This window comes from Homo sapiens, chromosome 6, assembly GCF_000001405.40.
Source record: "Homo sapiens chromosome 6, GRCh38.p14 Primary Assembly".
NCBI classification, from domain to species: Eukaryota; Metazoa; Chordata; class Mammalia; order Primates; family Hominidae; genus Homo; species Homo sapiens.
Genome location: NC_000006.12, coordinates 44,787,206 through 44,809,837, shown reverse-complemented (window position 1 = coordinate 44,809,837; position 22,632 = coordinate 44,787,206). Strand labels below are relative to the sequence as shown.

Here is a 22,632-nt window from a genome sequence, read left to right as displayed (position 1 = left end):
CTATTAAGTGGGAGCATTGAAGTTCTACTAGATGACTTTAAGACATATTTTTTACTCCTGAAATCTGTTATTTAAGAGGGGCATTTATGGAGTGTGGATTATGGAAAAACCAGCATAAGTGGGAGTCAAAACTTTAAGAATTTATTTCAGCCTAAAATGCCTATTTTTGAAGGGAACCTAATCAAAACTTTTTAAAAATAGTTTTTAATTATAGGTTTGAAACTTTGTGTTATTTGTAATGCCTTTTTAGAAGCCTGAAAATAACATTTCTCTCTGTACCAACTTTGTGCTTTTCCATTTGGTAAACACTGATTTTATTTCTCTCTGTCCCTGTAGGAGTAAACCAAGCCAATTCAGCACTTCCTGTTTACTTCCTTGTCATATGTACCATAGATGGTGACAGACCTGCTCTCAAAACAAGCTTCCTTCGTTTAATTCTGCATTTTCTGCTTAGGCAACCACCCTATCAATATACTTGAACAATGAAACAATTTGGCTACGGAAGCACTGTCTCTGAATTCCTCCTTCAACTTGTCAGTGGAAAGGAAAGTCCCTTGGTGGAATGGTAGGAATAGTTTTAAGCGGGGTATCACACAGTGCCTTACAGTGGAGAATATCAAAGCGTTTTCAGCTCTTCAATCTTCGTATGCATGACATGGGTGAACACAAGACTAATAAACAACTTGATTTCCTTAGGAGATTCTCAGTGCTCTATCTGTTTTTTAAGTAAGAAGATTGAGTTTCATGTATATTGAGTGACTAAAGTGTAAGCTTAGAAATATTTTATGTCTCCATCATAGTTTATTCTGTTCAGCATAAATCATCAGAGCCAACCATAACTTAACCATTTACTAGAGCTTTTTCAGAGTCAGTTGTATTACAAGCATGTCAGACACACCTTCCTACAAGTCCCTCAAGGTCAATAGTTGAGAAATTCTGCGTTTTCCTTCCCTTCCCCACTCAACACTTATGGAAATATATGCTAATTGGAACAGAAGCTGCCTACCAAACTAACAGGGTTAGACCACTCTTAACACAAGATTAATGAGAAAGAAGTTTAAGGAAAAAATAACATTTCTCAAGCAGTAAGAAAGTACATGCCAAGTAAAAGCCAACAGTCTGCATCAGTCGGATACCAAACTCTGCTTTCCCTTGACTTTACTTAAAGGAGTTAAAGACAGGGAATCCTGTATGTCCAGCCTTGCTCCAGTCACTGTTGCCAGCCCTTTGGCTCAGTGTGGCTGGCTTCTCACCTTCCTTGGGGCCTCAGCTCAGCAGCCACCATTGTAGAAAACAAGACCACAGACTCAAGGGTTAGAATGAGACTCTATACATTGTTTACTAAGGTGACATGCCAGAAGGAATGATGAGGCACAGACATACTGCATGTGGCCCGCTGCATTCATGACAGGCCTTTGTAGGTGTGTGATTTATATTCATAAAGGGGGGTTCGGAGACAATGGATGTTTAAAGTCACTGATATTGGCAAGAAATTAAGTTTGTGAATCACTCTGCGCCGTTGATGAATGACTGAACTGTGAGTTAGCAGACATCAAGAGCTGTCAGTTAGGAGTGATACTAATGTTCTTTTGAAATAGGTTTAGACAACAGTATTTGCTTAGAAGGAGAAAAGCCTAAAGATCTTATCAATTTGCAGAAACTGTAATTGGCATACTACGTGACATATTTACATTATTTGGCAAGGGCCGGTGAGGGCGGGGGGTGATTTCTCTTAGAATTCCAACCCTTTCAGGATCCAAAGGCAGCCTTCACCTGTGGCACATGCTTAGCTCTTTATAAGCACCCTAAATTTTTCCAAATAAATTTTACACATTTAAAAAGTGATGATCTTTCACACCTAGTGCCCAGATCTTAGTTTCTAAATATCATTCCCCACTGGTATTCAGGGTTCCTTGGAGAAATGCCTGATCCCAGAACCAGGGCAGGGAAAGATGCCTGGAAAAATGAGCCTTGAATATTTTATTGCATAAGAAAATAAGGAACTGGTCAAAGAACCATGGGGAGAGGTCAAAAATGGAGCTGGAAGAGGCTCTTACTGGCCAAATCTGGGACAATTTGAGCATCAAAATAAATGATAGTACTAGTTTGTCACCCATCGAATAAATATTCATGAGTCCATGCAGTATAAATAAGTAAACAGAGGAGAAAGTGAAAAGTCTTCTTTGCAGAAGAATGCCAACTAATAAATAAGAAGGAATAGTAGCATTAAAAGATCATCCATGGTAGAGGAAGACTGATAAGAAGTGGTTTATGTAGTCTCAGATTGTCTCCCCACAAATTACTGATTAATTAAAAAGGAAAAAATAGTAAAAAAGAAATCAGATGTTCTTTAAATTATTTATTGTAAGTACTGTTAATTAAAATGTTATGTTTGTGTTCAAAAATAGATAAGTACTCTTGCTTAAATTTTGTGTTTCTGCAGGCCATGCCACTAAATAAGAAATGCAAACAGGGAGAAATTCATTTATAATAGTTGAAAGAGTATCTCCAATGATGGCAAATCCTTTGATAAAATATATTTTGGTCAAATGCCTAAGACAGCTCCTTTTGTTCAGCCTCAATCTGGAAATTGTTCTTCCCTCCAAAAGCCAGAACAGGCTGACACTGTAGCACATCAGAGGCATATGGGAGCTCTCTGCTCCAAGCACTGCAATTTAAGGGAGATGGGGAGCTACAACATCATGTGGGCAAAGAGGTGGCCATTCTAGGATGGCACTGGAACTCCGTCTGTCCCTTGCCTAGTGAGGACCCTGGCCTTTATTTCCCCCTTTTGTTGTCTATATAAAACCAGAAACACTGTTTTCAGTTCCTGTGATGGTTAGGTATCTGAAGCAGGCAGGACACCAACGTCCAGACAGGGCAGACTGGGTAAACAGGACTCACAGATAATGCTGGCTCAGCTGGGCGCCCAGCCACCTGGTTATGTGATGAACTGCACTAGCATTCCAGGGAGACCGGGCAGGCACCTCGAAGACTACATTCAGACGCTAAAGTGCACACCCACAAAACAGCCATCTCAGACTTCTAATCTTACTTTATGACCAAACTGTAATTACATTACACCAATTACTTGAATATTACATTTTTATTACTGTTATGTCATTATGTCTACTAGGAAAAAAATATGCCTACTTTAACCAATAAAATTCTTAATGACTCATGTAAGCTGTGTCTACATGAAACCCCTGACTTAAACATTTTGGTCAAAATAATTTTTAGAGCCTGGGAGAAAAAGAGAGTTAATCTCCATCTATGTGATTACCCCCAAAGCAAGAAAACTTCCATTTGTAGATGTACGGCTAGAAGTTAAAAAAGTTCCAGCCAAAGCTAATCAGAAAGTTACGATGACTATATTTAAGAGCTATATTTATACAGCCATCAATTCTGTATCGTCTGTTGATCAGTTACAACTATTAATAAAAAAGGAGAGCTGGGAACTCAGGAAACATCCATGTAGCCATCCTCCAAATGCATGGAGGCACGTTTACATTTCCAAAATGTCAAGTAGGCCCAGCTGTAAAAAGATTCTTTAAAGGCCATCTAGGCCAGTTTTTTTGGGAGCCAGTGATTTAATTGGGACTCACTAGGGACAGTCCCCCAAATAAAGTTATTAATGTGTAGAACTTCTGTTTTAAAATCATTATAATTACATTTTACTTCATTTACCTCTTTTAAGGTAGCATCTCATTTTCTGTAGGCCAGTGACCTGTAGAGCTTATCTCACTGAGAAATTCCAGGCAGTCAGACTCGGTGCATTTTCTCAGCAGAGGGACCTCTGACCTTAACCACCTCTCAGCTCGCCCCAAACCTATGTGTCCCTTTCCCAAGCCATGCAGACTCAGACAAGCATAGGACGCTACCTGTCTCCAAAATAATTCTCTACTTCGGGAGCCAGAATTCAGACCCTTGAATTTTGAGAATTTACCATATGCACTTAAGTGAGTCAGAATATCCAAATTTAATCACTGTTGAAAACTTTTTTCACAAACATTTTACATATGCCTTTTCCTCCCAATTTTTTATGCATTAAACACTTTCCTACAAGAAGATGAAGTGGGAACAGGTTTTTCTTCCCCAGGCTTGGTATTTGCTTTATTTAAAAAAAAAAATCCTTTTGACAATATATGTACTCTGTATTACTGTGTAAAATCTCATGCCTAATTCTTAAGTTATGTGCATCTGCTGGACATAAACACTGTTAAACATTCATGACTGCCTACAAATGTGAAAAGTATTACCAGGTCTATTTTTAACATTATTTTGGCAAGACTGTTGCTGTGGAAAAAAAAAATCCTATAGAATCTTAATGAGAAAACTGAATGATTCTTTGAAATGTGGTTGTGATTCCCTAACTTATTAAGTGATGATGTCACTGATGCCGAGAAGCAAGAAACAGTGGACTCACTCACTTGCCAGCATGCTCTGGAGATACACCAGAAGGGAAATAAAACTCATCTTGAGTACGGTTTGCGCTGAGCTGCACCTTCCCCCACAGCTCGGAAGGTCACACGTGTCCCTGCACAGGACGTGTCTCACACACTTGGTCTGTCATTTCTGTGAACCTACGTCATAGAGGGTGCACTGATTGCTTTTGTTTTTATGGAACTTGATCTGTTTGCTGGCCTTTTTTCTGTTTATTACCCACATTTGTCTTACAGAAAAGAACCACCTTGTTTCACCTGTTGGAGAAAGACGGGGGTGTCCTCCAGCTCACCTGAGTCCCCTCAGTCACTTAATCAGCAAGTGGCAAGAAGTTCAAAGAAGTCTGTCAGGACAGGAGCACAGGTCTAATGAAGGAGGTTGTTCCTCATGCCTTCTTACTCCTCAACTCCCTTCAGACTTCCTGGCCACTCGACTTGAATCCCACTTGTCCTAAGTGGGCACAGGCCCTGTAAGAGCAAGGTGTGAGGCTGTTTGGTTCTAGGCAGCAGCAAACAGGACCTGGCAGAGTTTTACAGACTGTGCCCTACACAAAGAAACCAGGCCAGGAAGGCATTGATGGAGACTAACTTTCATTTTGGCCTTCACTTGCCAAGCCTTGCATCCTGGCACAGGAGTTGTGTCAGCCAGGAGCAAGGTCCACTCAGAGGGAGCGTTGTTTTATCATTCCCCTACCTAGAGGAGGCACTTTTTCGTAATTCTTCTGCCTCATGAGGATCCATTTGGCTTGTTTGTACAAAGTCACTGTGTGTGCTTGCAGAAGCCCTGGGGCTGGCCCTGGAGGAATCAGGACTTGCCATACTGAAGGGGCAGATTCTGCACCTTAAATGCTGGCTGGGTCAGCAGTGAATATAAATGAGGTCATTGCTTCTATGGAAAAAGTGCTACAGAATAAGGTCTTTCATCCTAGACAGCAAGTCTGGAACCTTTCAGAGTTCCAGAATCAGCCACAGCTGATTGAAAATTGAGGAACGATTTTCAGCCAGAAACCTGCAGAACCCGTATCTAGAGAGAGAGCTATGTGTTCCATCCAAAGTAGGGGCTGGTTTAGTTCTGCACTGGAGGAAATGCAGCCTGAGGGTGGCCTAGCTGGTCTTAAATCTGCATAAAATCATGGAATCACTGAAGTTTAGAGCAGAAAGAAGTCTTGGGTCCTCTAAGATCCATTCACAACTTTCCGAGATGAGCACAGGAACATGAAGTGCTGGTCCCCACCACCCTCAAAGGTGGTATCTTCTCAGCCAAGGGAGCCTGCCGCTCCCTCCACATCCATTCTTCTCCCATCCTGATGGCTCTAGATATTTTGTGGCGAGTATTCTGATTTCTGGGCATGGACCCACTGGTGCTCCACTTTCTTCCACAAGTTCTTTGTGAAATACCTACCTGCCACTGATCACTCAGTGACGTCTACCATTTGCACAGAATGACCAGTGGCTCAGATGCTCTTCACTGGTCATCCATGATTGCCACAGACTTCCAGAGGAACTCAGGGCCATGAACCTGCAGTCTTAGTCCAGTCCCTGCCCCAGTCCACTGGAATGATGCAAGGACCCATCCTGTCACCCCCTCCACCACTGCCAGGACACTCTTGTTTCCTACCCCTTTATCCTCTGGCTATGATGCAGCTTCACCTTGTTGGGGGAGGTCCCCAGGAGCCAGCCTCCTGACCACTGCCTCTGCAGAGACTCCTGCCATGCCCCACTCAGCAGTGCAGACTTGTGCATGGACACCCCACACCAGAGCTCTGTTTATCACACACTCGGGACAGCAATTTGGACTAGAGCTCGTCCTACACTCCCTTTATCTACCCTAACTCCAGAAGCATACATTTTTTGACTACTTCGTCCCACCCAGCAGCCTCCACTGAAGTCCCAGCATGTCTCAGAGCTGAGGCTATGCTGGAGATGACACATGACATTTCAGTCCATTCTTGGAAGTTTCTTTGTCTTTGCAAGAAGGATGTTAATTTCGCAGGTTAATTTGGTAAACCTGTAAGTCAAGAAGGGGGACTTTGACTTCAAATTATTACATTTACAATGCTGCGTATTATTTTAGCAGGTTCCACAGAGATACTTCACTCATTGTTACAATTGTGTTTTTATAAACTTCAAAGAAACATGGACTTTCCTTTCAGAAACTGCCTCACACAGACTCATATTACATTGTTCTGAACCCCAAGTCTACCTAAGACATGACCAAGACATCATTTGATGTGCCATCCCATCCTCCTGCCGGAGAGTGTGACCCAAGGAAGAGACCCTCAGGGCTGGTGGCCATATTGCCCCTCTCTGTGATGGACTGCATGTGCCACTGCCATTACTTATACTGACTTTGCCCTTAACTATTAGTTCTGATTGATTAATTTTTGGCAAAATACTCCACAAGGTCCATATCAGTTAGCTATTGCCACCTAACAAAATCCTAGAACTCAGTAGCTTAAACCAACATGCATTTATTATTGTGGATGAGTCCAGAGATCTTCTGGTCTCAGGTGACTTACTCGTGCATCTGCATCTGCGTTCTGTGTGTTGGTTGGCAGCTCTGCTGATCCTGGCTGGACACTATCATCTGTTTAGGGGTCAGGTGACTGCGTCTGGCATAGGATGGCTGTGGCTAAGACAAGTGGGCTCTTCTCCATGTAGTCTTACCCTTCTGGCCCTGGGTGGTTCATATAGAGGCAGCAGGATTCCATGAGAGGGTCTCTTGAGCCCTAGGCTCAGAACTGGTACAATGTCAACGTCACTTCTGCCACATTCAAGGCCAAAATATACCACAAGCCCTGCCTACATTCACGGGGTGGGAAAGTAGGCTCTACCTCTTTCTGAGAGGAACTGCAAAGTGACACTGCAAAGGGCACAGCAATAGGGAAGGGTGGTGAAGTGTGGATATTTTTGCAATCGATCTACCAACTCTCTACTAATAGCTTTTATTGGCCAGGTGCAGGCTCACACCTATAATCCCAGCACTCTGGGAGGCCGAGCTGGGAGGATCACTTGAGGCCAGAAGTTCAAGACAAGCCTAGGCAACATAGTGAGACCCTGTCTCTATATATAAAAAAAAAAAAATTCTAAAAATTAGCTGGTGCAGTGGTGTGCACCTCTGGTCCCAGCTACTTGGTAGGCTGAGACAGGAGGATCACTTGAGCTCAGGAGTTAGAGGTTGCACTTAGCCATGATCACAGCACTGCACTCCAGCCTGGGTGACAGAGCAAGACCCTGTCTCTATTAAAAAGAAAAAAAACTTTTATTTTTCTCATTCTACATGTAAGTAATTAAATGTCTTTATAATTATAAAGCGCTTTCTCTTATGTGATCTTGCATAATATATCCAACGCATGCACTTCCCAGATGACGAAACTAGAGACTCTAAGAGGTTAAGCTGCTTGCCAAGAGCTAGTAAGTGGCAGTATCAGGACTAGAATCCTGATAGAATCCTAGGACTAGAAGACTAGAATCCAGGTCTTCTGATACAAAGTTCAGAATCATTTCGAAAATTTCACACTCATGATCCCCTTTGGGGTAATGGTGTTCCCTTAAAATAGCTTCCTCCAAAGGAAGGAATAATTTGTGGCCATAGGATGGGAGCAGGGGTGGGGCTATACAATCCATATGGAGCCTGACCCCATCTCGGTCTCCTTGTCTCCCTAGCACGGTGTTGTAATCCTCTAAGCCAAATAATCCTAGCAAGATGCTGTACCCTACACACCCTCAGACACTTCATTCCAGACTATGGTTTTGTGAGATTTCATGCTGCTTTAATTATCTTATTCCTTGTTAACTCTGGGTCTCCCTGCCAGCCTGCCTTAGAACTTTTGTCTCTTTCCACTGTCACACTTTGTCTCAAGCTACATATCCCAGCCTCAGACCTACTGCCTGCACTTTCAATCTGTTTTCTCCCTTCTCCTGATGTGTTCTTGAGATCTCGGGGTTATTGGCTTTTTTCCCCAGGACTACAGCTCTCAACCAGTTTTTACAGGACCAGCTGGTGACCTCACTTGCTACTTGACTGCTGCAGCTCATTTAAATGCAACCAACGGCCTTGGAGTTTTAATAAGAAACTTGGAGCTCCTAGTTCTGTTGCGACTTGGTGGCAGCTCAGTACCTGCTAAAGTGTTGCTTCCCCCCTGGCCTCACAGAGGGACTGTAAAAGGTTCGAGTTCTGAAAGCTTGAGTGGAAGCTGTTGCGTGCAGGCTCCTGGGCCCAGAGAGGACTGCTTTTCTTTTCTGAGCCAGCCTCCTTTTTATTTCCTCCTGGCACGTGTCTGCTCTACTGAGGTCTCCACTAAGGGCTCTATGCTCAAGACAAGCAGCAACACGAGGGAGGCCAAGTCTGGTGCGAAGAGAAGAGGTGAAGAGTCACTCAGATGTTGCCTTGGACACAATCCTGCACCTCAGGCAGACACTACCCCACTGCCCCACAGAGTGGACCCCACAGAGCTCCACTCTGAAGTCTTGATGGGGTAGCCATGGACAGACTGAGGCAAACTCAGAAATTTGCACTTCTTTTGCCAAAAGCAAATCTTAGGTAACAGAACTTTATCTTTCATTTGGAAACCCCTTTTCTTCTTCTAACAGCTATGTGTATCCCACTTACAAAAAAGGAAAATGAATCTTCAAGATTCACCAAGTGATGACACTTGGCAAGTCTGAAAGGGAGAATTCCTAGCTCCACTCACTGCTCTCAGATTTCCTGATAAGTAATGGTGAAGACAAGGCAGGGAGTGAGAACTGTGTGTTTAGTTGGGGTCTCCTTGGGGATTATAAAAGACAAACAAACAAAAAACCTTGACACTCAATAAATAAACCATTTATAGAAGCTAAGATAAGGAGTTCCCGTGAGCTTCGGAGCCACTTCTGTTTGCTGCTGTTCTCCAATTAGCCGAGAATGCAAGCAGATTGTGCGAACGCAGCACTAAGCCCCGTGCCAAACACCTTCTCAGGTTTTTTCCCCTCTGCATTTTGCTAATCCCTGGATGAAACATAATCGCAGAGAAATGTTCAAGGTTGGACACAACAGGGAGGAACTCAATGTTGGCTCCCACCCAGTGGAAATAACATGCCACTGGACTCAGCAAGGCAGGAATAAGGATGTTAAACAAATACACTTCTCTCCAGCCTCCCTAGCAACAGCTTGTTGCTTTCTACAGAAGCCCTGAGTTTCCTCAAGCTGTTCATTCCGCTCCAAGGTTTCATCACCTGAGATATGTTTTATAAGAGAGAAACAGGGAAGTCAACGGGTAAAAATTCCAATCAGGAAAAGAATGGAAAGAGAATTAAGTCATTTATTCCCCTCTAGGGAAAAATAAAAGTAGCAAAAGTATTTATATAGAATAAGTATATAATTATGTGTAATAATTAAACTCCAGCAACTTGCAGTCATCATTCTTTGTCACTTTGTCTCAAACCAGAGGAAAACATTTCTCCCTATTGTGGTTTCAAGTTAAGATTTCTGAATTAGAAGTTCCAGGTTCCAACTGACTCCTGTCATTTGTGTTCTGATGATGGAATGGGAAAAGAAATCAGAGAACAGGACAGAACTTTCTGTAATAAAAAGGGAAAAAAATCCTGTCTAAAAGTACTTAAAATATAACACCTATCTCAAATATACACACATTTATATTTATATCTTATTTAATCTTTACCACAGTCCTGAGATTGATGTTATTATTCCATTTTACAGATGAAAATCTGAGGTGAAGAGGGGTTTAAGGCCACACAGATTGAACCATGGAGTGAACTGGAGATGGCTATGCGGTTCTCCTAAACAGAAAAGGGGGCTCAGAACGGTTTAGGAGAGGTACCGCTGGAGATTAAAAACAATCACAAGAGCAAATACTTGTGCGTGCTAAAAAGCAAATAAAAAATAGAACATGGCCAAAGTTCTAGACCTCTTCCTGAGGGGTTAGAAAGTGCTCAGTGGTGACTTTGGCATCTCTGTCCACTTATAGTCCAGAAAACTGAGGCTTTGTAATGTAGGTTTGCCTGCAGGCATGCGATAAATTTGTGCTGAAACCCAGTCTGAAACAGGTCTCCTCATTCCTGCTGATCTCGCTTTCATGAACCCAAACGTGATGGAACCAGGAGGGGCATCAGCATTTTTACTGGCCCTGAAATGGAGAAGGTAAAATGGCAGCCTGTCTTATTGCACTTCCTGGAGTGAATCATGTGGCTTTTGATTAACTTGCTTGGGGTTTGATTAACTTGCTTGGGGCTTCTTTCCTTTTTTTTTTTTTTTTTTTTTTTTTTTTTTGAGACAGAGTCTCGCTCTGTCACCCAGGCTGGAGTGCAGTGGTGCAACCTCGGCTCACTGCAACCTCCACCTCCTGGGTTCAAGCGATTCTCCTGCCTCAGCCTCCCAAGTAGCTAGGACTACAGGCACCCGCCACCACGCCCAGCTAATCTTTGTATTTTTAGCAGAGACGGGGTTTCACCATGTTGGCCAGGCTAGTCTCGAACTCCTGACCTCAAATGATCCACCCACCTTGGCCTGGCCCTGAGGCCATGAAGCCAAATACGGCCACTAGCTGAGCACTGGCTTCTATGCCTCTTAAAAGTGTCTGCAAGCATGATAGTCACTCCATTTTCCTGTAGATCATCCAAAATTCTCTATGAAACAGTCTTTCCTCTTTTATTCATTGAGCCCTCTATGTTCCAAGCACTGTACCACACATCAACAACACAGGGAGAATGCAGGTTCCCTTAACCAAGTAAAGTGAAGCCCTCCTCCACCTAGGTTCACATTAAATGTGTAATTCTCTCACCCTTATGACTTAATAGAGTTTGCCAAACTTCCCTGGACTTGAAGATGATACACAGGAGTGAGAACTTCATAGGCTTTGAGTTCTGGTTCTGGTTCTGGTCAGCTGTCTATTCTTGGGCATGTCACTTGACCTATTTGAGCTTCAATTTCCTCATCTATAAAATGGAGGTGATAATTCCTGTCTTGCAGGATTTGGGGTAGTGCTGGTTATGCAACTGGCACAGAGCGTGTGGTCAGTGAGGGGGACCCATTATTTTGCTACATTCAGTTTTCATCAGCATAAATTTCTAACTCCACTGTTTATTCTGAAGACTTACTTTTTTTCCCCCTTCCATAGTGAGTAATCACTAAAAGCCAATTATTCCATCCACTCTCTGGTTTGGGGTTTTCTTTTTGTTCTTCATTTGATAATTTCCTCCAAAAAAGTATCTGCCTGCCTCCTGGGTAAGAATATTTCTGGCCAACTTCTTTGAAAGCCTTTGGCAGAGGTGAACACATTTCTAATAAAATGCCACTAGAAAAGAGAGTAGAGGGAGAGACAATCATACCCCTTCTGTCTAGAAAGCCTTTTACATGCACAAAGAGCTTTCTCATCCACTGCCTCCTTTCATCCTACAACAATACTGAGAAGTAATCAGGGCTGAAACTGTCAGTCCATTTTACAAATGAGGAAATTGAGGTTTGCAGAGATTGCGTGTCTTGAGGGGCACACAGGCAAAATGCAATGAAGATAGATCTCTAAAGCAAGTCTCTGACTTTCCATCGATGCTCCTTCTACCACAGGGAACCGCTTCTGGGATAAGTCCTTTTTCTTGTTGCAAATTAAAAGTAGGGAGGATTTTTTAATATGGCTTAAGTGCAAGGGGGTGAAGTCACTGGGAGACCCAGGCCTGCCTTGCTTCCTGCATCTGTGAAGAAGTTCTCCATACAGCTTCCTTTTCCAGGAACCAAGGGCATTAGGGCCTCTGTTTCTCTACTCAGGAATTGAATTTATCCAAATCTAGAATTACTGGAAGCCCAGAATCTTATCCACCAGCCCAGCCTCCCTCAAGTTTCCACTTGTGACTACATGTGAAACCCTGTATGAGCAATTATCCTGCATGAGCCTGAGCCTCCTCATCTGTTAATTCGGGATAATAATGCTACCTCTCACTGTTGGGATATGTATGAGAAAGCAGCTTCCATCTTATGGGCATCTTATGAAGGTGTATTACATGTCAGAAATTATTCCAGGTACTGGGGATAAGCAGGGTACAAGACAGAAGGGAACCCTCCTCTTACGGAGCTTACCTGCTAAATGGGGGAAGTAGATAAGAAACAAACAATGAACAAGGTAAGTTCCCAGTAGTAATCACTGCTATGGCGATATATAATATACAAATGAATGAATATTCATTTAGATGAATATTTAAAAATTATTCAAACAAACTGAAATAATCTTAACTTTGTATCAATTTGGTGATACAGCCACACAGAGTAAAGAATTACTTCAGGTCACTTTAAAATACAGTATTTTGATTATACATCTCTGGTAAGGTATATTATCAGGACAAAAAGAACTACAAAGAGATCTTATACTGCATTCAGGTGTCTTATTGTAATTTTAATTCACATTGGAAAATCAATGTGAATCCTTTGTTCTCTTAACAAAGCATATTTCCTAGCTCTATCCATTGAAAAGGCTTAGAAACTGACAACCCAGTAGCAGTAAGCTCCTACATCGTGGCCTCTAAATGCGATTTCCTTTCAAAAGAAACCAAACATTCTTAGAGAAATGTTTGACTTCAGGTCTAGTGCAATAAATATACAAGATGAGCCTGATATCTTGAACCAGAAAGCAGGGAAACTATCAAAGACTAATTTTAATGAGAGTCTGCTCATTAAAACAGGACATCGGAGTCTATTTGAAGGGGCTCCTATTGGCCTACAATAGGATAACATGAACATCAAAAAGATTAAAACACACCCAATAATATATATATCTGATATACATCCATGGGTTCAGAACAATTGTACAATGAAAATTTACAGTACCTTTTTTCAAGTTACTAAGCCACCAACTCATTATTCTGAAAACTTGCTTTTAAAAATTGAGAGGAATTAAGCATTTATCCTGTCTTTCCTGCATGAACTGGATTTTGGAGAAACTAAACTGTTATTAGGGAAAATTTTTTTAGAAGAATTCCAAATAATAAGTGCAAAAAAAGAAAAATAGAAATATAAAAATCACCATTTTGCAACTCCTAATGAAATAATGTATCAAGCAACAATCATTGAAGGTCCCAAAATCATCAGATGAAAGGTTGATGGGGAGCTTTCCAGTGGAAGGGACAGGTGGACACCACCTGAATGTATCAGTCAGTTTTGGCATCAGTAAAGGGGGGGCAGCTGAACACTGTGTGTTTCATAATGTGATATACTCCCTCTGAAGTACTGCCAAACAAACTTGAATCTGATCAACACTCAGTAGCAGTGTAGAGGAAATCCAAGGGACAGAGGAACAAACCAAACAATACCATGAGGAAGCAATCAACCAAATCAAAAATGTAGAACCTCCTTCAGGTCACATAACCCGATATCTCTACCAAATCAAAGGTATTAAAAAGAGGTGGTAGATATTAAAAAGAGGTGGTAGATAAGGGAGTTTTTAAAGAATAAAAAAGACTTAGGAGATAAAACGACCAAATACAATGTGTGGACCTTGCTTGGATCCTGATTTGAACAAACCAACTGCAAGAAGGCTATAACAAATCAGGAAACTGACGATGGACTGGCTATTACTATTTATTTTTAAATTTTTAAGGTATGATAATGGCATGGAGATATACCTTAACAGTTGGAGATCCACACTGAATTATTTAGGGTGAATTACATAATGTCTAGTGTAGTGGGCTGAATAATGACTCCTAAAGATGCCTGTGTTCTAATCCCTGGAACCTGTGAATGTGTTACTTTGCATGGCAAAAGGAACCTGGTGGACATGATTAAATTAAGGATCTTCAGATAGATCGGCCTGGGTTATCCAGGTGCACCCAATCTAATCACATAAGTGATAGAGAAGAGAGGCCATAACACAAAGGATGCAGGATGCGGGCTGTGGGCTGCGGGATGCGGGATGTGGGCTGCCTCCTGCAGATGGAAAAAGCAAGGAAACAGATTTTCCCCCGGAGCCTCAAGAAAGGGCCATAGCCCTGCCAGACACCGTAAAATAATAAATTTGTGTTGTTTTAAGTCACCGAGGTAATTTCATCAGCACTAATAGAAAATGAATACCTATGGGATCTGTTTTTAAATGCTTAAGAAATAAAAGTGGTGGAGAATAAATGAAAGATTGGAAAAATATCGATGATAACTGTTGAAATGGGAGAGGAGTGCTCTGAGTTTCATTATACTATTCTGTCTACTTATATATTTGAAATTTTCCACGATAAATGAGTTTTTAAAAACTACTACAGGGTAGGTAGTGAGCAAAGGAAGAAGAAGGGCTTGTGGGAGACAATGGAAGAGTGGTTTTGTGGTGTGGCATGAGATTGGAGGTCTCAGACCTGCGACCACCAAGAGTGACACATGTCTTGGGTTAGGGAGATGGCTCCCAGGCTCCCTTTTTTGGTGCTGAGTGCTTTCTGGGTGCACTGAACTAGAAGTAAAAGGCGCTCTCTAGAAAAAAACTAATCAACAATTTACTAAACATTTCTTGAGCATCTACTGTGGCCGTGATCACTAGATATAGCCTCCATGCTCTAAGAACTTGACCTCTATGCAAGAAACTACAGCAAACCCAGAAAGATGGCAGAATTAAAACCCAATTCATTGAACTCACACACTCCTTTGGCAGTGGAAGTGACTGTGAGCTCTGACTTGTCTCTGAGAGTGAGGATTAAATGTCTATAAAAGCATTTGCCACACCCTGCCCCATGAAAAGTATCTGTGTGGTCACCAGCTTCATTGGCGCACACATCAGCCAAATGAGCTCCCTGGGTCATTCACACTGCCTCAGTGGGCAAGAAAGAAAGGCCTACTCACACTGGCTTAAGGAAAAGTGAGTTTGGTGTAAGGAGTCAGGGCAGTAAATAAGGCAGATCTAATAAGGGGCTGAGCTGGAACCAGCTAGCTATAGGAAACACAGCAACATCTTTCTCCCTCTCATTCCCCACACAGCCTCTCAGAGTCTCCCCTTCCTCTTTAACCCTGCACCTCTTTTACTCTCTCCGTTAGTTCTGCCCACCAGCATCCTCTCTCTTATGAGGTCAGATCACATCTTGAATAATTAACTTTCTTTAGACCTGATCCTGTTCAGACAGTGGCATCCATTGTTCAGGGAATGTTGGGGCTGTCAATCTAAAAGGAAGGGAAACAAAGAAACCCTCCTCCATGCCCACTTTTGGAAAAGAGACTTCTGACACTGATGGCAAAAACGTTAGTCTTGAAAGCCAGGGCTTTTGATTGGCAAGAACCAAGCGAATGTGGAAGCAAAAGAGTCTGCTGGGCCTTAATCAGTTTTGTGGTATGGAAACACAAAAGGCAAAATCCTGAACAGGACTGATGCCATAATCCAGACTGATGGCACAGATTATTAGGTGTGGAAAGAGACCAGCAGACCCCAGAGGTGAATGGTTCCACAGGCTGCAAAATGGATGGCACCACGGGAACATGATGAGGCAAACTGGCAGGAGCCAGAGTGGGAAAGTGGAAGTAGAGTCTTGTCCAGAAACTGTCAAGTCAACACCCACAGGCTTCCGGTCACCATTCTTTGCCTATCCAGAAGCTCACTGGGTAGCCTCATTGGTCAGCAAGGCTCTCCCATTGACGGCAGCCTGCACATGGCCTGACAATTGTTCCAGCAGGAGTAATGTTCTAACACGCTGTTCACCCTATTCTAATTTGCATTTAATGTAATGGCACAGGACACTCATGAGCTCCCCAAAGAGAAATGACACGCAGAAGGAGGCAGAGTGTGGAAGTAAAGGCCCCAGCACCGTCTCTGGCATAGAACTGAATCCTAGGATCTTTACCTAAGCAAGGATATTGGTGAACCACTGCCCTCTTATATTTAGCACAAAAACAGGCACTCCAGGCCCAGAGGCACTGATCAATCAACTGGAGTCACGGCATCTTGAGGCCTCTGTCCTGGAACAGACAATCCAACTGGCTCTACTTGGGTAAAGTCTATTCCTGTGCCTCTCATCTGTGGCCGGGCGTGGAGTCACATGGCCTGCTGCCTCCTCCCTAAGAAGTATGGGAGCACGTGCTCCAACTCCTCCCCACTCCAAAACCCATCTTCCAAGTCTTCCTCATCTCCTATTGAGGTCTTCAGGGACTCCACACCGCCAATCCAGTCATTATTTCTCTCTTCTTTTCTTTCCTGGCCTCTGAGCAGCATTTGGCACAGTTGATCGCCCCCTCCTTTTTCATCCTCAATACTCTTGATGTCGGTGACACCATCCATGCCCACTTTTCCCCCACTTCAGTTGCTATTCATTCTCAGTCTCCTTCGCAGCTTTTCCTCCTCTGATCAAACATTTAATGTTGAGATTCCCAGTGCTTGGCCCTACAGTATCTTCCTAAAAGATCACATCTAGTCTTATGGCTTTAAACACCATCGCTTTGCTAGTGACTGCCAGATATCCCTAGCTCTGACATCTCCAATGAGCATCAAACTGATATATCCAACCACTTACATGATGTCTTCACTTAAAAGATCTCATTTAGGCCAGGCGCAGTGGCTCACGCCTGTAATCCCAGCACTTTGGGAGGCCGAGGCGGGCGGATCATGAGGTCAGGAGATTGAGACCACGGTGAAACCCCGTCTCTACTAAAAATACAAAAAAATTAGCCGGCGCTGTGGTGGGCGCCTGTAGTCCCAGCTGCTCTGGAGGCTGAGGCAGGAGAATGGCGTGAACCCGGGAGGTGGAGCTTGCAGTGAGCCATCTCGCCACTGCACTCCAGCCTGGGAGACAGAGCGAGACTCTGTCTCAGAAAAAAACAACAACAAAAAAGATCTCATTTAAAAGCCAAAAGATAACTCTTTATCTTCTGCCACAAATTTGTTCTTCCTGGTTTCAGTAAATGGCCCCAACATTCACCCAAGTGCTGGAACTCGAAATGTAAGGAGTCACCCTCAATCACCCTCTTTCCCCTAAATCCCACATCCAATACATCAAGCCAAAATATTGCCCTTATTCATCTATCTCTCTCCATCTCCACAGCAACAGTCCTGATCCAAGACCTCGTTACTTCTGACCTGAGCTCCTGGAATCCATCATCATCTTACTAACTTCTTGCTGCCATGCTTACCTTCCTACAGAGCAGCATGGCTGACTCCCTCCTGATTTTATACCTCAGCTCAAAGTCACCTCCTCAGAGAGGCTTCCCTGACCTCAACTAGCTCCCCTCCACTGGCCCACTCTGCCATGTCACACTTTCACTTCATTTATATCATTCAGTGTCATCTTATTTACCTTGTTCTTTTCTGTCTCCCCTCACCAGAATATAACTTCTATGAGAGCAGAAACCTTGTGTTCCAAACACCTAGCACAGTCCCAGCATTCAATAAATATTTACTGAATGAATGAATGAATCCACAAACTCCTATGTAGCTGGGGACAGTCTTTCTGTTCCAAAAGTAAGTGCAGGTTAGGAGTGGAAGAGCAGAGTGGGTAGAGCAGGGAGGGAACCCTTTGTCCAGATTGGGTAAGACAAACTGTTATATTAATAGAAGAAAATCCAGATTTGAGGATTTGGGAGAGGACAAAGACAGCAGTGCCTTCCATTCTACAGTAATTTCACAGGGTTCAATTGTCACAACGCCCCCTCCTTGGGGGAGCGGGGGACAAGGAGGAGTACCATTCTTACTTTTTTCACTAATGAAGCAAAGAATGAAGTAATTTTCCAAGGTCACACAGCCAGTTAATAGGATTTGGGTCTGGAGTCCTGATCACCAGACGCCCAGTTCAGCAATCCTGCCTGTCTGCCCTTGGGCCACTAGGAAAGCTGAGTGGTGAACTGTGTGAGTGGTGAGAGTTCTGCCCTCCATACTCTGGGCAGCTCCCTAGTTTGAGGACATGAGCAGGCTCAGGAAGATGCCAGGCCAGCCTCCTTCCTGAGAGAGGCGCTCTCTACTGACTTGCCTTTCCCCAGTCTCGTTGGACACTTGCTCAGGAAGCTCATGACATAAGCACCCCTAAGCTTCCTTTCAATTCTTTGAGCCACAAAAGGGACACTGGATGATCTGGCCAAACCTCTCATTCTACAGATGAGGAAACTGAGACCTAAAGAGAGGTATGGCTTGCCCAAAGTCACATAGTGAATTAGTGGCAAATCTGGGGTGCAACCAGGGCCCCTGCATGCAGAAAAGTATAGTAACATACCCACCTCCCAGCCCTGTTCAATTTTTATATTTTGCAAAAATTGCCTACTTTTTGAGACAGGGTCTCACTCTGTTGCCCAGGCTGGATTACAGTGATGCAATCATAGCTCACTGCAGCCTCAAACTCCTGGGCTCAAGCAGTCCTCCCATCTAAGCCTCCTGAGTAGCTGCGACTACCAAACCCAGCTAATTTTTAAATTTTTTGTAGAGATGAGTCTCACTACACTGCCCAGGCTGGTCTTGAACTCCTAGCCTCAAGCCATCCTCCCACCTCAGGCCCTCCCAAAGTGTATATCTTTTGTTTTTAAATGAAGCATTATAACACAATTGAGAGTCCCTGTGTACCCTCCCCTAATTCCATTCCCCACTCCTTTTCCCCCGAGGTTACCTGAATTTGGTATTTAACATTTCCAAGTGTTTTTATACTTCTACAACATATGTATGTATACATAAACAGTACATAGAATCATCTTGTATGTTTTAAAACTTCATATAAACATCACTATCCTGTACAAGTCCTCCAAATGGCCATTATGTTCTTGAGATTTAAAACCATGTTGGTAAATGCAGGGCTGGTTCATTCGTTCAAACTACTCAGGTACCGTAATTTATTTATCCCTTTATTGATGGGTATTTAGTTCTGTTTCTTTCACTGTTACAAATAATGTTGCAATAAGTATTTGGGGGACACAGTTTTCCATTTTCCTATTGATGGACTCATTTTTTTCCCAGTGTGTTGCTATTTCTGTCAATGCTGCAATGCCCCTAGACACGTGGCCCAGAGTTTCTCTAGGGAATCCACCTGAGAGAAGAACTGCTGGGCTTCAGCTTTACTAGATATTGCCAATTTGCTCTCCAAAAGTGGTTGTACCAATTTACACTCCCACCCCATTCAGTAATCTTTCCATTATGCCAAGCTGCTGCCTTATTCTGCTTTCAATTCTTTATAATTTATGAAAGGAAAATATAAAAGAGGTGCTATTACCTTATTAAAAAATCCAGCTTCCTTTCCCTGCAGAAAGGAGAGGAGAAAAGAAGGGCAATTGCATATTGGATTAGGGCCTGGCATGCATTCATCAACTTTATAGTAGCGCCGACTTGGAATTTGGGTCTCCTGAGGGGGAGAGTGGGGCCACTGGAAACAAGAGACACTTTCACCACGGCCTTCTCCAGGAACGCAGATATAATTTACTCTAAGGTACAAAAACGTTTGCACTTAGAGCCTCCCTGGTTCCAATCAGGACATGAAGGGAAAGTGCCAAGACACCAGAGAATAAGCCAGTTCTCATAAACTTTCCAGCCAAGTGCTGCAAAGTCTGGAAGGTAGAATCAGGACTGGTAATGAACTTGAGTGCTCGGGCCAGGTCAGCTCTGAGCTCTTCTGAGCAATGCCTGGCAGCCCCCTCACGACTGCAGAGGGCCCTCACTCCCTCCAGCCCCTTACTGCTCTGATGCCTTGCAGCAACCTCATAGACCTGTGTCAGGTGTCTGCCCAGGTGGGGTACCTTCTTCTCCTGGGTTTTAAGAGAAGGGATTCTTCTGGCTTCCTCTGAAACCCTTCCTCCCCAGTCTCAAATCATCTCTCCCTCTCCTTAGACTCTCATGGCACTGTGCTCACCACTGTGTCATACAACTTACTTAGGACTCAGTCTGCCTGCCTTGATCCAGATTTGTGAGTGGATCCCCCAAAGACTATCGTCCCCTTACAGCAGCGATTATGTCTTTGTCACCTTGGTACCCTGCCTGGTATGCACCCACTGTTCTGCTCTGGGAGGAAAAAAGGAAAAGAAAGACAAACAAAAACACCACACAACAGTTCATCAGGCCCATCTCTGAGCTCCCCACTCCTTCCCATCAATGATTTCATTCTCCTCACTCTGTGCTGTGCATATTCGCCTCCCTCCCTATCTTCCCTACCAGGCTGTGTAAGCCCTGCTTGCGCCCTAGAGTGGGGCGTGCTGTGGGCAAGTGCTCAGTAGTTACTGCATGGCACATAGTAGGTGTGCACTGAACTGAATGGCATTGGGACTTCGTTTTCAACTTCAGATTCAACCCAGTTCCTCTAATCAGCTGCAGGTATATCTTTATTGGTGAAAAGAAAATGTCAGAATTTGCTCATGAGAGTTTGGGGTGGAAGGGAAAAATAAGAGTCCTGCTGACTCCCCAGGATGAAGGCTGAAGACGGGAGAAAGCCTGAGGGGAGGAGGAAAGAGGCCCATTTTAATTGGACAGCTTTTTCCCCCCTTTTATTCTTCTTGTTTTTAAGTTCCAGTCTTGGATCCTAGAAATTACAGGCTCCTTCAGCATCGCCTCTGCGGTTGGAAAAAATGCTTATTTCACTTTTAAAACAAACAATGGAAAGTTCCTTTTAAAGGAAAAATCTTATTAGCCCAAGTCCAAGGAGATCTGCTGAGAGTCAGATCTGCTGGGATTGCCTACTGGGCAAACTGGGCCTCACAGGGTGCAGCCCCAAGACAAGGTCTGGCCGACCCCCACCCAAGGGCTCCCTTCTCAGAAGAAGAACCCACCCCTCCCCGCAGAGCAGCATGCAGAAGACCTCCCAGTGAACACTCACAGGAGGAAACCGCTCAGACATGAAAGGGAGGAGAATATCCTTTACCCAAATAAACAGCCAGAGGAAGATGCAGAGGGAAGCGAGTCCATCAGACAAAGCCACAAATTAAGATCACAAGAGGGCTTGGGATTCGGGCTCTGTCTTTAAAACATCTTCCAGGAAGCTGCCCCTGGGGCAACCCTGTCATCATGCTGGGCTCGAGTGGCCCTTCCAGTGGGCATCTGCGCATGTGCTGAGTCACTGGTGACATAGAGTTGGCGGGAGCCTGAGAAGATGGGAATAGAGGTGAAATAGGCCATGGGTTAGGGTCAAGGATGTGGAATGGGGCTTGTGGAAAGGAGGAGATGGAGCCCTTCATAAAATCCTGGGTGGCACCAGACGACAGAAAACAGCCTGGGGCCGGAGCTAGCTCTCTGTCCTTGACAGAGCCTTCCTCACCCACAAGCAAGGCCTCAGGCCCTCCACAAAGAGTCTCACCTCTGGGACTCAAAGTGCTTCAGTTGTTACAGCAGACTCCGCTCAAGCTGTTCTCCCCATTCCTCACCGCGTCCTTTGACGCGGGTCAGCAGTGGCTGGTGTGGCACATCTCGGGATTAGACAGCCTCCCCGATCCTCCTCTACTTGGGTAGTAGAGGTAGTGTGAAGGCATTCTGATGCCACCTGAAGGCTCACCTGGTCTTGTTTAAATGTCTCAGTGCTTGGATGTGAGGACACAGGAACCACTGGTGGGAATGGGCACAGGCACAGTCGCACTGCAAAGAAATCTGGCAATATTTAAAGAAAACCAAGTATGGGGTTCTCCAAGCTCAAGCAATCCTTTTTACACAGTTTGGTAAGGGGATATGTACAGAAATGTTTGTGTGGTATTACTTTGGTGATGGAGAGTTAAGAGAATCCCAAATGTTAACCTCTAGGGGAGTGGATAAGAAAAATGAGGGGCACGCATACCATATCAGAACTCAGGACTGCAGCTAAGAGCAACGCACGGGCCAGGACACTGTACATGCTTACCTCAGAGAGTAAGGAAGGACCGAGATGAGTGACAGCCTTCCCACTTAAGAAGTCAGAAAAAGAACCACTCAGCCCACAGGAAGAAGAAAGCAGGAAATAAAACTTAAGGTAGAAGTTAAGGAACCAGAAAATAGATAACAGAATCAACAAAGTCAAAAGCGGGTTCTTAGAAAAGGTAAACCTCGGCAAGATGAATCAAGAAAAAAAGGGCGCTAAAGCGCTCCATTTTAGGAATGAAAAATGGAACATGACCCACACATCCTGTAGAGATTAACAGATAATAAGAGGATACTATGAACAACTTTATGTCTGTAAATTTAAAAATTCAGATAAAATGAAATAGATAAATTCTTAGAAAAATACAAGTTGCCAAAAGTGACTCAAGCAAAAATAAAGAACCAGGGTAATCTTATAAGTACTAAGGAAATTAAATTACTAGTTTAAAATAGCAGTAAAAAGA

The 22,632-nt window shown here is 43.6% G+C and overlaps 1 protein-coding gene and 1 long non-coding RNA gene across 10 annotated transcripts in view; one reads left to right on the top strand and one right to left on the bottom strand.

Annotated features, from left to right (window-relative positions):
* Window positions 1-781, top strand: part of SUPT3H (SPT3 homolog, SAGA and STAGA complex component) — a 568,878-nt gene extending 568,097 nt beyond the window's left edge. For all 6 annotated transcript variants that reach the window (NR_146632.2, NR_146634.2, NR_146633.1 and 3 more), the window contains one exon: window positions 337-781. The gene's annotated coding sequence lies outside the window, so the exon portion shown is untranslated. The remainder of the gene's footprint in view (window positions 1-336) is intronic.
* LOC101929770 (uncharacterized) overlaps window positions 1-22,632 on the bottom strand; it is a 105,175-nt gene that overhangs the window by 23,273 nt on the left and 59,270 nt on the right. The gene's annotated exons all lie outside the window — the stretch shown is intronic.